Raw genomic sequence first — 15,471 nt, 5'->3', positions numbered from 1 at the left:
GACTGTCTCTGATTCTGTGCTCCCATCAAGGTTTATCAGGAACTCCTCTGAAATAATGAATGATGGGGCAGAGAAGTCTCATGAGGGCTCCAGGAACCAGGGACTGGTACTGGACCTGCTGTTTGTGTTGTGATCTCAGGAAAACGCTTTAATTCTCTAGGTCTTGGCTTCATCTTACGTTATAAGAAAATAATACCATAGATGATCTTTAAGGAACACATGCCAAATGTTGGTCATACCACAGTGAAAAAGACAGTCATGACTTAGTTGTTATGAAGCTTCAGGTTTCATGAGGAAGACAAGTACACCATTACCCTAAATATAAATGGACAAAGTATTTAGTGCTCTGAGTGTGGATAACAGAGGTTCTCCTTTTCCTCCCATTTCCTTTTCGGGCCAATCAGAGCTGTGGCAGCTTGTCTCTTTAAGAGAGCTCATGATGGATGCACTCACTCCAGATGCTCCTCTATACTCCCAGAGGAGGATGCATCTTCTTTCCACCTGGAGAGCTCCTGCCCATGTGCATTCTCGGGATTCCAGAGCAAAGGTGGCCTCTGATAGCAAAAAGGAGCTCCTGAATTTGTTCCTAAATGGCTTTCACTCTCCTCTATTTTGTTCCCTTTTTGATTTGCTTCTCTTTCTCTATCTGAAATTTGTTTAGGTTAGTTTTTTTTTCAACCCACAATTTTACCTGCCAACTTGGATTTAACTTGAGAATCCCTCCTCTGCTTTACCCCCCTCTAACATGTATAATTGACAGAGTGGTGCGGGTCTAAAGGGCTGCTCCAAGACTGGATCGTGAGTCAGCCCTACTGGGCTCAAATTCACACTATATGAGTCCCAGAATGAATAGTTCACTTTTTTTGTGTGTTCCAATGCATTATCTGCCATATGGGAATAATACTCATTCTTACCTCCTAGGCTCTTCAGATGATTAAAAGAGACAATACCTTAAAACTCTCAATCAGCAGCTGTTATTCTCCCAGATTAGACCTAATCCTCATTCTCCAGTTGAAATCTGCATGAACATCTCTCTATACTCCAAGCCCTAACATCTCCTATTTCCCATCATGGACTTCTCTCATACAAATGTTTACAGCAACAAAGAAATGCTAACAAAGATCTCCTGAAAGAAAAAATGAAATTGGTTTACATTGTATATACCCAGCAGAACACTTAACACTCCCCCATAGATATTCCAACACTTCAATTACCTTTTTCAGTGGCACTCAGACCTCGCCCTCACTTACTCTTTCCTCTGCTATATGGCTGAGCAATTCAGCTCAGACCCACACCCTACACAAACATTGTATACAAAATGCTTCTAGGTGTTCAGCATAACCACATCAAGTCCTCATTTTAAAGGCACATCAGTGGACAATTTCAGGTTTTGGGCACTCATCAATAATTCTTCTCAACACAGATAGAGCTGTCCACAAATAGAATTCTGATGGATGAAATTTTCTTCATCTAATTACACTTATGTGTTCTAATGATGTACATAGTGCTTTCATTTTTATTTTCCATTTCACCAAAATCTACCAGTACCATTAGGCTCCTCATGCATGCATTCATTCATTGAATGAATATTTATGAAGAGCACAGTATGCTGCTCATGGAAATAGGCACTGGAAGTATAAAATGTAAAATGTGTTCCTGTCTGCAATGACTGACACACTGAGTTATTTCTCACCCACCAGGCCCAGCCATTTCCACACGTATCCTAGTGAAAGTCACATTTTCCTCTGGTTCATAATGCATGGTCTTCTTTCCTGTCCATGGATGATCAGTCCTAGTCATGAGGGTGTCACAACCACCTCTTTGTGGATCTGAATTCCTCCACCTGAGAGAAAATGTCAGGCCCAGGATAGAGTAATCATCGGGTCCACAGCCCTGGCTGGATGAGTGAGGGTGTTTTGATCATAAGTTACTCCCATGTCCGTACAGAACTTGTGTGGCAGCAGAGTGAGGTCAGACTTCAGAATCAATAAGAACTGGATTTCAAACTCTATTTGAGGACCCCCACCTTTTGATAGGTGATTTATTCTCTGCGAGCCTCTTTTTCTCTCTCCTTAAAGTAAGGACAGTAAATCCCACATGGCAGGGTGGTGGGGAGAATCAGAGATGATACAGCTGGTGATCACATCTGGTTTGTGTTCCCAGGGGCACCAGACTGGGGTTTCTGAGCATGGATCCAACCATCCCAGTCTTGGGTACAGAACTGACACCAATCAACGGAACTGAGGAGACTCCTTGCTACAATCAGACCCTGAGCTTCACGGTGCTGACGTGCATCGTTTCCCTTGTCGCGCTGACAGGAAACGCGGTTGTGCTCTGGCTCCTGGGCTTCCGCATGTGCAGGAACGCTGTCTCCATCTACATCCTCAACCTGGTCGCGGCCAACTTCCTCCTCCTCAGCAGCCACATTATACATCCCTGTTACACCTCATCAATAACGTCCATCCCATCTCTCTAATCCTCTAGCCTGTGATGACCTTTCCCTACTTGGCAGGCCTGAATATTCTGAGTGCCATGAGCACCAAGCGCTGCCTGTCAATCCTGTGGCCCATCTGGTAACGCTGCCGCCACCCCACACACCTGTCAACGGTCGTGTGTGTCCTGCTCTGGGCCCTGTCCCTGCTGTAGAGCATCCTGGAGTGGATGTTCTGTGACTCCCTGTTTAGTGATGCTGATTCTGTTTGGTGTCAAACATCAGATTCATCACAGTTACGTGGCTGATTTTTTTATTTGTGGTTCTCTGTGTGTCCAGCCTGGTCCTAGTGGTCAGGATCCTCTGTGGATCCCAGAAGATGCCGCTGACCAGGCTGTACATGACCATCTGCTCACAGTGCTGGTCTTCCTCCTCTGCGGCCTGCCCATTGGCATTCAGTGGGCCCTGTTTTCCAGGATCCACATGGACTGGGAAGTCTTATATTCTCATGTTCATCTGCCTTCCATTTTCCTGTCGTCTCTTAACAGCAGTGCCAACCCCATCATTTACTTCTTCATGGGTTTCGTTAGGCAGCATCAAAATTGGCAGAACCTGAAGCTGGTTCTCCAGAGGGATCTGCAGGACACGCCTGAGGTGGATGAAGGTGGATGGTGCCTTCCTCAGGAAACCCTGGAGCTGTCGGGAAGCAGATTCAGGCAGTGAGGAAGAGCCTCTACCCTGTCAGTCAGATGGGACTTTGAGAGCAACACTGCCCTGCCACCCTTGACAATTATATGCATTTTTCTTAGCCTTCCGCCTCAGAAATGTCTCAGTGGTTCCTCAAGGTCTTCGAATAGATGTTTATCTAACCTGACAATTGCGGTTTTCACCTGTGGAAAGCATTAGTCTGACAGTACAATATTTAGATTCTCCTGATATTACCAACACATTTTCTCTGTTGTCTTACACTGAATCTTTCCTACAGAACACTTTTTCTGTAATTTTCATTGTAATGCATGGAGTTTCTGTCCGAAACCTTAAAACTCTTCTTTATGCTTGTTTGAACCTGATTGTATCAAAAAGGAAGATTCCTTTTTAATCTCTCAGATTATGTTCCCCTAAAAATCATGTTCCCTTTTATGACTGGAGGCATTACTGCAGCTGGTAACTAGATTCTGAATAAGTGAGTTCTGCTGTCTCTAAGTTCCATTGAATTCTCATATATAGAGCAAAATAACGTACTTCGATACATTATTTTATACATTATGTATACATTAGATACAATGTCTCTTCATAAAAACAGTCTAGGGAATTGGTTTTATGGAAAGTCCTCCGCTGTCATTTGTCTACAGAATGGTGACATGTTGGCCTTGGTTTCTAGCAAAGATAACCATGGCCCCTTCCCCTTAAGAACCGGTAAGTTCTTATTTAGCTCTTCCTGGACTAATGAACCAGTGAGGAGCTCATAAATATGCTCCATCAGTTCAATTTGGCCATTGGAAGCCTCAGTATTGGTTTCAAAGTGGAAATTATCTCAAAAATCATGTATTTGCTTACACATTGTTTCAGTTACAGGAGAATTCTCCATACTTCCAGGGTTTGTATAAATTGTTCTGGCTTAACTTTCAGTTAGTTTTATGGCTGTTAACATGAGAAGCAACACTGAAAACATCTGACCTTTCCTTGCTCATGTCAATTATAGTATCTGGATAATAACTTCCAGTTCGTACAAAATTCTAATACATGCTGTGACATAGATGAACCTGGAAACATCATGCTCAGCATTATAAGCCAGACACCAAAGAACAATATTGTAAGTTCAAATTTTATGAAGTATTGAAACTAGGAAATTCATGAATACAGAAAATAAATTAGGAGGAGCCTGGTGCTGGATAATGGAGAGAATGAGTAGCCATTATTTAAAGAGCACAGAATTTCTGTGTGGAATAATTAAAAGTTCTTAAAGGGCACAGTCGTAACAGTTACAATTTATTTTGAATGTACTTACTGACACTGAATTGTACACTTTAAATGGTTATAGTTGTAAAATGTATGTTATGTAAATTTTACCACAATTAAAAACGTAATTTTAGAAATGGAATCAGTACAAAACTCAGAACTATTTTCTACCAGTGGTAATTTCTTCCCCAGATAACTCAAGCAGACAGAAGAGACATCAAGAGAAGATGTGACATCACAGCTGGCTCTGTGCTTCTCACCAACAGTGAGGCTGCCCCTCAGATTGACCCTCACTGAGGGGAGCTGACACATGCCATTTGAATGCAGGAGAGACATTACAAAGGAGCTATGAAAGCAATAAAGAGGTATATAGTTTTCAATTTGTCCAAACAAATTTATTGGTGGCTCCTATCACACTGTTCACAATGTTGAACTCAGGTCCCCTCAGTCCAGATCCATTCCTCTTCCAGGCCCAGCACTCTGCTGATGCTGAATCCTATCTATCCACTCTCAATTTTCAAATGCTGTATTAGAATGTGGCTGTAGGGGAGGGTTTCCTAAAGGTCGGAGGAAGCAGGAAGGCAATGTTTGCAGCCAATTCTCCAAGCAAGGAGCTTTTCAGACTGAGGGTTATTGGGAGAGTCCACTCTGGAATTCTGTGATATCAATTGTACAGTTTTGGCTAAAGATGTTGTCTATCATGAGGAATTCTGTAGAGAATTTTCACCTAGCAATTGACTCAAATAATTTTGTTCCTCACATGAAAAACTGCTTATTTTGATGTTAGTGACATTCTTTTTCTTTGACAGAAGAAAACTTTAGCTTCATGAAAGCTTAGATACTGTCCCTGAAGCCCGTTCTGAATTCACTTGGCCTCACACGTTGCTCTACTACAACACTTATAACAGTGTACTTGAATTATTTGTCCACACATCTTTCTCTCCTACCACACTCTGAGGTCTTTAAGAGCAGGGATTCATGTCTTTGAATTTCTAGTGCAACAGCCTAGGTGTGAAATTTAGAAAATACTCGGTATTTTTCTCAAGCAGCTCCCACCTGATAATCACAGGGTCATCCAGCATCTTGCAAAGGCTGGCTCAGTCACCAGGTCTCACTGGAACTCTTATAGGCACCTTCCACTTAACAGTGTCCTCTGCAGTTGGTCATTCTGAGAACAGCTGTTTCCTTTCATTGGAGGTTTGCTCACTGCCTCTGGGAAGAAGAATGGAGGGGATGCGGGAGTCGGCTTATGAGCTGCCTTCTTTACCAGGCCAATGATATCATTTCCTCTTGGTTTCATATGGAGGAGAAGCATGCAGTACATCCAGGAGTTTTCTCCAGAAAGTGAGAAAATACATGAAAGTCTCTCTTGGCACTTTTTGGGAGCTGCCATTCATGACTATATTTTAGGCATGAATTCAACAAACATTGAATCGTAATTAATCAAGCGCTGTGCTAATTCTACATAAAAGCAAACATCTTTCAAATAAGTCTCTCACTAATACATTCTATCTGTATAATTAATCCTTTCCACTTCATGAAGCAAATACAGTGACTGATGCCAAGCAAATGCTGAGTCTTCATGGCCATTCACTGACGCTCTAGTACACTGGGCACAAGGGCACTGAGTCATCAGCCTCACAAGAACCAATTGAATCTGTTTCTTGCCCTGCTTTTGCCAATTAGGCTAGTGAATATAATTTCCTAATTTATCAAAATACAGCACAGATCAATGAAAAAATAGTATGAAAGAAGAATTGCAATTTCCATAAAAACTAACATGAATGATCAAATGGAAAATAAAAGCAGGTTCCAAAATTATTGTTAGTTTAGTAGGTGTGAGTCTTCCAACTCTACAAGATTAAACAAAAATGAGCAATATTGAACAATTTCCTAAGACAGAATGCTATGCATCTGATGCTAAGATCTACACTTAAACTAATTCAAACTGCAAATTATAGACAGTGATTGATAGATACGCTTTCAGCCAGACAGAGCAGAATTCTATTTGCTGAACCCTACAAAAGGATTGTTCTACAGTCTAGTTCTATTACAGTGAATGAATTCTAGGTAAAATTGAAATATTCATGTTACAAATGTATCCTTTTGTTTAAATGCTGATTAACAGACATTTTCAATTAATCTATCTACTTACACTCCTGAATATATCATTAAGTGGGCTTTTCATAGCAATATCTATCACTTTTTCTACTGTTTGTTGTATAAATATATACTGAGCATCTTCCATTCTCTAGCTTGCATGCCAGACACTTGGGAGTCAAAGTAAACATACCCACATTCCCAGAGCGCACAGCCTGTGAAGGAAGGACACTAGTACAGGAAAGACTGCCTCCCAGTGTGACACATGCTATCCAAGGATTGTGTTTGTGGCTCAAGGGTGTTCAGAGGAGAGGGTATCTAAAAATTCCAAGTTATCTTGCTGCCATCCTGAAGAGCAATGCCACACCCAAGCACCCAGCTGAAGCAGGACAACATGATTTTAATAAATTAGAGAATATTCACGCCAGGCGCGGTGGCTCACGCCTATAATCCCAACACTTTGGGAGGCCGAGGGGGGCAGATCACGAGGTCAGGAGATCGAGACCATCCTGGCTAACACGATGAAACCCTGTCTCTACTAAAAATACAAAAAATTAGCTGGGTGTGGTGGTGGGTGTCTGTAGTCCCAGCTACTTGGGAGGCTGAGGCAGGAGAATGGCATGAACCCAGGAGGCGGAGCTTGCAGTGAGCAGAGATCGCACCACTGCACTCCAGCCTGGGCGACAGAGTGAGACTCTATCTCAAAACACACACACACACACAAAAGAATATTCACCAGGTGGCTACTCACGCAAGAAAACAATATCAGCAATGGTTTTATAATTGATGACTGAATTGGCTGAACATTACAACAGCCCTCATTCTATAGTACAACAGCACACCAATGCAAAGTTCCTGAAAGTATTTTCAAGAGACCCTGCAGGTGCTTATTACCCTAGGTTCCAGCAGAAGAAGCCCTTGTCTTCAGGCAAACCCAATTCAGCACCTAGAAATCCCAGGATAGGTAGGGAAGCAGAATGTGTAAGTGCTAGAATGGGAAGAACACTGGACTTGGTTTCAGGGATTTGGGATTCTCAAGCTGACTGCATGGCCAACATGAGTCACGTGCTCATTCCAGGCAAGCCAAGCAGATAGTGAGGTTATGGGATTGCCCCAGTCTGAAACTGTGCCATTTGTGCATTTGTGCTCAGGTATCTCTTTTCAGAATATGTGGGTAAAGCATGACTTTACCATAACCATAGGCTGAAGATAACTAGTGTTGTGATCCAGGCCACAGGCCACCTGAGAAATTCACATCACTACACCGTGACAATAATCACAGTAAGCATATATTCTTCTCACCTATGTGGCAGCGCTCTAGAATCCAGAGACTGCTATGATGCTTGTTCTATATGATGGTGTGGTATCATTTGGGCACCACTATTGTCAATGTATCAATGCTGGCTATAGATATAGGCGGAACTGGTTTGCTGTTTCTAGCAGTGACAGCAGAGTATAGAAGAAGAAATCTCAATGCTCATGCCCATCATATTGGTCCAATTGTTCTGAAACCTTGCAGGATGCAAACACAAGGAAGGAGAGAAAAGACACAGTGGATCTCATTTCTAAGTGTCTACGTAGAAGTGAGTGGATCATGGAAGGCTTTGTGTAATACGTAGAATTTTAACTGATGACTATAATTGACCCAGCATTATTATTATTATTATAATTGCACCTGCTGTAAATTTTGCCAGTCTGTAAATTTGCTGTAAATTTGCTGTAAAATTTGCTGTAAATTTGGACAGATAGAAATCGGGAAAGAAATAATTTACAGTGGCACTGTTAATAATAGCAGAGAGTTTTTTAGGGAATGGTGAAGAATTCATACATGAGTTTTATTCCTTGTGTCTCCCACTCCATGTATTTTGGTCATGGTGGCAATATTCCTCTTATATAGAATCATAAGGCTGGAGTGCTCTGAATAATGAGCATCATCTTCTGTGGCCTTGAAGTGATAGGGCTTGCTGTTAGTTTTGTGATATTCATAGGAGTGAGCTCTATAATAATATAAAGTCCAGAGAGGGCCAGGCAGGTCAGGCCAACAGGACAAGCCACAAAGTCAATTCCCTTCTCTCCTCACCCTCCTCACAGGGATATGTCCAGCCCTCCAGGGTCAGAAGGCATGGATAAAAATACAAAAAAAAGTGTGGGGGTTAGGGGAGAAGAGAGAAGCAATGGAATGCAGCCCCTTCTCTGGAGCAGCATTTTTACCTGCAAAAGGCCCACATTGGGAGTAGGGGAGATAGTTAATCTTTGAATTAAATTCACCATTGTAATTGTCACATCAAAATTTAAATCTAAACTCTGCATAGCCTTGATATGGATGTCCCAAAATTCCTATTCAAATTCTGTGTTGTCTAGAACCTCTTTGTAACGTAATTTCTATAGTGACTTGACATTTTTAAATCCTGGTAAACATGTGAGAGAATAACACATATCAACCTCAGACTTTCTGAAGTTGAAGAAAGTTGTCATTCCCATTCCAGGTGTGCAGGCACCCTTGCCTTCTTATCAAAGATATGTACAATTATTGGTGAGAGTAGAGATGCATGATTCAGCCTTGTGTCTGTAAAAGTGTATGTACTCATTTTAAGAGTTATTGGAAATAAATATGATAAAAATTTAATATGTGCTTAATTTCGTGTTGGGTTGGTGAATGCAAATTATATTACCTTCTACCTATGTACTCGGTTAACAAACTCCCTTCCAGCATACCCCATGTCCTCATTCTTGGTGACTTCAATATTCTTGGAGTGAGTCCACACAACAAACCAGTCTCTCAGTTGTTTTTAAGTTTTCATTCAGAATTAATTGTAGACTATTAAGAAGTTACTAAAATAGTACAGAGAGTTCCTGTATGCCCATCAACCAACCCACAGTAATACTGACTTTTTAATTGAATGTATTATCAAAACCAGGAAAATGACATTGGTACCATCCAATTATCTACACTACAAATCTTATGAGACTTCACCAAATATCTACAGTACGATCTTACCAAATTTTACCAGTGTTTGCATGCACTCATTTTTGGAGTGAGATATTTCTCTATGTTTCATTCCATAACATTTTGTCACATGTGTAGATCATATAACCAGAACGACATTGAATATAGAAGTGTTTCTTCACCACAGAAGATTTCCCCTGGGTTCCCCCTACTGCCACACCCACACTATTCTTCTTCCCAAACCCCTCTAATCACTGTTCTATTCTTCATCTCTATAATTTTGTCATTTCAAAAGTGTTACATAAATAGAATCATACAGTATCTAATCATTTGACTTTGGCTTTTTTCATTCAGCATAATGTCCTCAAGATCCATGCAAGTTTTTGCAAGTATCAATAACTTATTGCTAATTTTTTATACTACTGAGTAGTGTTCCATTGTATGGATGTACTATGCTTTGTTTCATTATTGGTAAGTGGAAGGATATTGCTGTTTTTTCTAATGTAACATTTAAAAATAAAGCAGCTATAAACATATGTGTACATTTTTTTAATTTTTACTTTAAGTTTTGGGATACATGTGCAGAACGTACAGGTTTCTTACATAGGTATACATGTGCCATGGTGATTTTCTGCACCTATCAACTCATCATCTATGTTTTAAGCCTCACATGCATTAGGTATTTGTCATAATGCTCTCTTTCCCCTTGCCCCCCACCCCCGACAGGCCCTCATGTGTGATGTTCCTCTCCCTGTTGCATGTTTTCTCATTGTTCAACTCCCACTTATGAGTGAGAACATGCAGTGTTTGGTTTTCTATTCCTGTGTTAGTTTGCTGAGAATGATGGCTTCCAGCTTCATCCATGTCCCTCCAAAGGACTGAACTCGTTCTCTTTTATGGCTGCATAGTATTCCATAGTGTATATGTGTCACATTTTCTTTATCCAGTCTATCATTGATGGGCATTTGGGTTGGTTCCAAGTCTTTGCTATTGTAAATACTGCTGCAATAAACATGTGTGTGCATGTGTCTTTATAGTAGAATGATTTATAATCCTTTGGGTATATACCCAGTAATGGGATTGCTGGGTCAAATGATATTTCCGGTTCTAGATCCTTGAGAAATCTCCACACTGTCTTCCACAATGGTTGAACTAATTTACACTCCCACCAACAGTGTAAAAGCGTTCCCATTTCTCCACAGTCTCACCAGCATCTGTTGGTCCCTGACTTTTTAATAATCTTCACTGTGGCTGGTGTGAGATGGTGTCTCATTGTTTTTATATGTATTTCTAATGATCAGTGATGATGAGCTTTTTTTCATATTTTTTTGCTACAAAAAATGTCTTCTTTTGAGAAGTGTCTGTTTATATATATCCTTTGCCCACTTTTTGATGAGGTTGTTTGTTTTTTTCTTATAAATTTGTTTAACTTTGGCCAGGTGTGTTGGCTCATGCTTGTAATCCCAGTACTTTGGGAGGCCGAGGCGGGTGGATCACCTGAGGTCAGAAGTTTGAGACCAGCCTGGCCAACATGGTGAAACCCCATCTCTACTAAAAATAAAAAAATTAGCCAGGCATGGTGATAGGCGCCTGTAATCCCAGCTACTCAGGAGGCTGAGGCAGGAGAATTGCTTGAACCCAGGAGGCGGAGGTTCAAGTGACCTAAGATTGTGCCACTGCACTCCAGTCTGGGCAAGAGAGTGAGACTCCATCTCAAATTAAAAAAAAAAAAAAAATTTGTTTAACTTCCTTGTAGATTCTGGATATTAGACCTTTGTTAGATGAGATCGCAAAAATTTTCTGCTATCCCGTAGGACATCTGTTCAATCTGATGATAGTTTCCTTTGCTGTGCAGAAGCTCTTTAGTTTAATTAGATCTCATTTGTCAATTTTGGCTTTTGTTGCCATTGCTTTTGCTGTTCCAGTCATGAAGTCATTGCCCATGCCTATGTCCTAAATGGTATTGCCTAGGTTTTCTTCCAGGGTTTTTATCGTTTTCAGTTTTACATTTAAGTCTTTAATCATTCTCGAGTTAATTTTTGTATAAGGTGTGAGGAAGGGGTCCAGTTTCTGTTTTCTGCATTTGGCTAGCCAGTTTCCCAGCACCATTCACTAAATAGGGAATTCTTTCCCCATTGCTTGTTTTTGTCAGGTTTCTCAAAGATCAGATGATTGTACCTGTGTGGTGTTATTTCTGAGGACTCTGTTCTGTTTCATTGGTCTATACCTGGTGCTGTTATTTCTGAGGACTCTGTTCTGTTTCATTGGTCTACATATCACTTTTGTTACCACTACCATGCTGTTTTGGTTACTGTAGCCTCGTAGTATAGTTTGAAGTCAGGCAGGGTGATCCCTCAAGCTTTGTCCTCTTTGCTTAGGATTGCCTTGGCTATATGGGCTCTTTTTGGGTTCTACATGAAATTTAAAGTAGTTTTTTTTTTTTAAATTCTGTGAAGAAAGTCAATGGTAGCTTTATGGGAATAGCATTGAGTCTATAAATTACTTTGGGCAGTATGGCCATTTTCACGATATTGATTCTTCCTATCCATGAGCATGAAACTTTTTTCTTTTGTTTGTGTCGTTTTTTATTTCCTTGATGTTGTATTCCTAGGAATTTTATTCTCTTTGTAGAAATTGTGAACAGTAGTTCATCATGATTCGTCTCTCTGCTTAACTATTATTGATGCATAGGAATGCTGGTGATTATTGCACATTGATTTTCTATGCTGAGACTTTGCTGAAGTTGCTTATCAGCTTAAGGAATTTTGAGACTGAGAGGATGGGATTTTCTAAATATACAATATTGTCATCTGCAAATAGAGACAATTTGACTTCCTCTCTTCCTATTTGAATACTCTTAATTGTTTTGTATTGGCTGATTTCCCTGGCCAGAACTTTCAATACTGTGATGAATAGCAGTGGCAGAAGAGGACATCCTTGTCTTGTGCCACTGTTCAAAGGGAGTGCTTCCAGCTTTCACCCATTCAGTATGATATTGGCTATGGGTTTGTCATGAATAGCTCTTATTATTTTGAGATACGTTCCATCAATATCTAGTTTATTGAGAGTTTTGAAGGGGGCCAGCCCCTCCACACCTGTGGGAGTTTCTCTCAGGTGGGACGAGGGACTGAGAAAAGAAATAAGACACAGAGACAAAGTATAGAGAAAGAACAGTGGGCCCAGGGGACAGGCACTCAGCATACAGAGGACCCGTGCCGGCACTGATCTCTGAGTTCCCTCAGTATTTATTGATCACTATCTCTACTACCTCGGTGAGGGGGATGTGGCAAGACAATAGGGTAATAGTGGGGAGAGGGTCAGCAGGAAAACATGTGAGCAAAGGTCACTGTGTCATAAATAAGTTTAAGGAAAGGTCCTGTGCTTTGCTGTGCACGTACACAAACATCTCGGTGCATTAAAGAGCAGTATTGCCACCAGCATGTCTCACCACCAGCCTTAAGGTGGTTTTCTCCTATCTCAGTAAATAGAACATACAATCAGCTTTTACACTGAGACATTCCATTCCCAGGGACGAGCAGGAGACAGATGCCTTCCTCTTATCTCAATTGCAAAGAGGGCTTTCTCTTTCACTAATCCTCCTCAGCACAGACCCTTTATGGGTGTCGGCTGGGGGATGGTCAGGTCTTTCCCTTCCCACGAGGCCATATCTCAGGCTATCACTTGGGGAGAAACCTTGGACAATACCTGGCTTTCCTGGGCAGAGGTCCTTGCGGACTTCCACAGTGTATTGTGTCCCTGGGTACTTGAGATTAGAGAGTGGCGATGACTTTTACCAAGCATACTGCCTTCAAGCACTTTTTTAACAAAGCACATCCTGCACAGCCCTAAATCCATTAAACCTTGAGTCAACACAGGACATGTCTCTGCAAGCACAGGGTTGGGGCTAGGGTTACAGATTAACAGCATCTCAAGGCAGAAGAATTTCTCTTAGTACAGAACAAAATGGAGTTTCTTATGTCTACTTCTTTCTACATAGACACAGTAACAGTCTGATCTCTCTTTTCCCCACAAGTTTTTAGCATGAAGGGATGTTGAATTTTACCGAAGGCCTTTTCTGGATCTATTGAGATAATCGGGTGGTTTTTGTCATCAGTTCTGTTTATGTGATGGGTTACATTTACTGATTTGCGTATGTTGAGCCAGCCTTGCATCCCAGGGATGAAGCCGACTTGATCGTGGTGGATAAGACTTCCATGTGCTGCTGGATTCAGTTTGCCAGTATTTTATTGAGGATTTTTGCATTGATGTTCATCAGGGATATTGGCCTGAAGTTTTCTTTTTTTGTTTTGTCTCTGCTTGGTTTGGTATCAGAATGATGCTGGCCTCATGAAATGAGTTAGGGAGAAGTCCCTCCTTTTCAGTGGTTTGAAATGGTTTCAGAAGGAATGGTACCAGCTCCTCTTTGTACCTCTGGTAGAATTTGGCTGTGAATCCGTCTGGTCCTGGGCTTTTTTTGGTAGGCTATGAATTACTGCCTCAATTTCAGAACTTGTTATTGGTCTACCCAGGGATTTGACTTCTTCCTGGTTTAGTCTTGGGAATGTATATGTGTTCAGGAATTTATCCATTTCTTCTAGATTTTCTAGTTTATTTGCGTAGAGGTGTTTATAGTATTCTCTGGTGGTAGTTTGCATTTCTGTAGGTTCCCTGGTGATATCCCCTTTATCATTTTTCATTTTATCTATTTGATTCTTCTTCCTTTTTTTCTTTATTAGTCTAGCTAGTGGTCTATCTGTTCTGTTAATCTTTCCAAAAAGCCAGCTCCTGAATTCATTGATTTTCTGAAGAGTTTTTCATGTCTCTATCTTTTTCAGTTCTGTTCTGATCTTAGTTATTTCTTATCTTCTCCTAGATTTTGAACTTGAATTAAAAGACAAAGTCTGTGTCTTTTAATTGGTCTTGCTTCTCTAGTTCTTTAATTGTGATGTCAGGGTGTTGATATTAGATCTTTCCTGCTTTCTCCTGTGGGCATTTAGTACTATACATTTCCCTCTAAACATTGCTTAACTGTGTCCCAGAGATTCTGGTAAATTGTCTGTTTGTTCTCATTGGTTTCAAAGAACTTTTTTATTACTGCCTTAATTTCATTATTTATCCAGTAGTCATTCAGGAGCAGGTTGTTTAGTTTCCTTGTGGTTGTGTAGTTTTGAGTGAGTTTCTTAATCCTGAGTTCTAATTTGATTGCACTGTGGTCTGAGAGACTGCTTGTTATGATTTCCATTATTTTGCATTTGCTGAGGAGTGTTTTACTTCCAATTATGTGGCTGATTTTAGAATAAGTGCTATGTGGCACTAAGAAGAAAGTATATGCTGTTGATTTGGGGTGGAGAGTTCTGTCAGTTTCTATTAGGTCCACTTGGTCCAGAGCTGAGTTCAAATCCTGAATATTCTTGTTAATTTTCTTTCTTGTTGATCTAATATTGACAGTGGGGTGTAAAATTCTCCTGCTATTATTGTGTGGGAGTCTAAGTCTCTTTGTAGGTCTCTAAGAACTTGCTTTATGAATCTGGGTGCTCCTGTATTGGGTGCATATATATTTAGGATAGTTAGCCCCTTCTTGTTTCATTGATCCCTTTACCACTATGTAATGCCCTTCTTTGTCTTTTTTGATCTTTGTTGGTTGAAAGTCTGTTTTATCAGAGACTAGAATTGCAACCCCTGCTTTTTTTTTTCTTTCCATTTGATTGGTAAATCTTCCTTTATCCCTTTATTTTGAGCCTATGTGTGTCTTTGCATATGAGATGGGTCTCCTGAATACAGCACACCTATGGGTCTTGACACTTTATTCAATTTGCCAGTCTGTGTCTTTTAATTGGGGCATTTAGCCCATTCACATTTAAAGTTAATATTGTTATGTGTGAATTTGATCCTGTCCTTATGATGCTAGCTGGTTATTTTGCACATTAGTTGATTCAGTTTCTTCATAGTGTCATAGGTCTTTATATTTTGGTGTGTTTTTGCAGTGGGTGGTACCGGTTTTTTGTTTCCATATTTAGTGCTTCCTTCAGGAGCT

At 40.6% G+C, this 15,471-nt stretch overlaps 1 pseudogene, besides 2 other annotated features; it reads left to right on the top strand.

Moving 5' to 3' along the window:
- Positions 241-746: an enhancer, noted in NCBI's record as "NANOG hESC enhancer chr11:18934386-18934891 (GRCh37/hg19 assembly coordinates)". NCBI's record gives its function as "activates a minimal SCP1, AML or CMV promoter by ChIP-STARR-seq in primed H9 embryonic stem cells {active_cell/tissue: H9 hESC(primed)}" and the evidence as "EXISTENCE:reporter gene assay evidence [ECO:0000049][PMID:30033119]".
- Positions 2,163-3,351, top strand: MRGPRX5P (MAS related GPR family member X5, pseudogene; annotated as a pseudogene).
- Positions 12,791-13,296: an enhancer, noted in NCBI's record as "NANOG hESC enhancer chr11:18921836-18922341 (GRCh37/hg19 assembly coordinates)". NCBI's record gives its function as "activates a minimal SCP1, AML or CMV promoter by ChIP-STARR-seq in naive H9 embryonic stem cells {active_cell/tissue: H9 hESC(naive)}" and the evidence as "EXISTENCE:reporter gene assay evidence [ECO:0000049][PMID:30033119]".

Source organism: Homo sapiens, chromosome 11 (genome assembly GCF_000001405.40).
Source record: "Homo sapiens chromosome 11, GRCh38.p14 Primary Assembly".
NCBI classification, from domain to species: Eukaryota; Metazoa; Chordata; class Mammalia; order Primates; family Hominidae; genus Homo; species Homo sapiens.
Note: the sequence above shows the minus strand (reverse complement) of the source record. Positions and strands in the feature narration are given on the sequence as shown.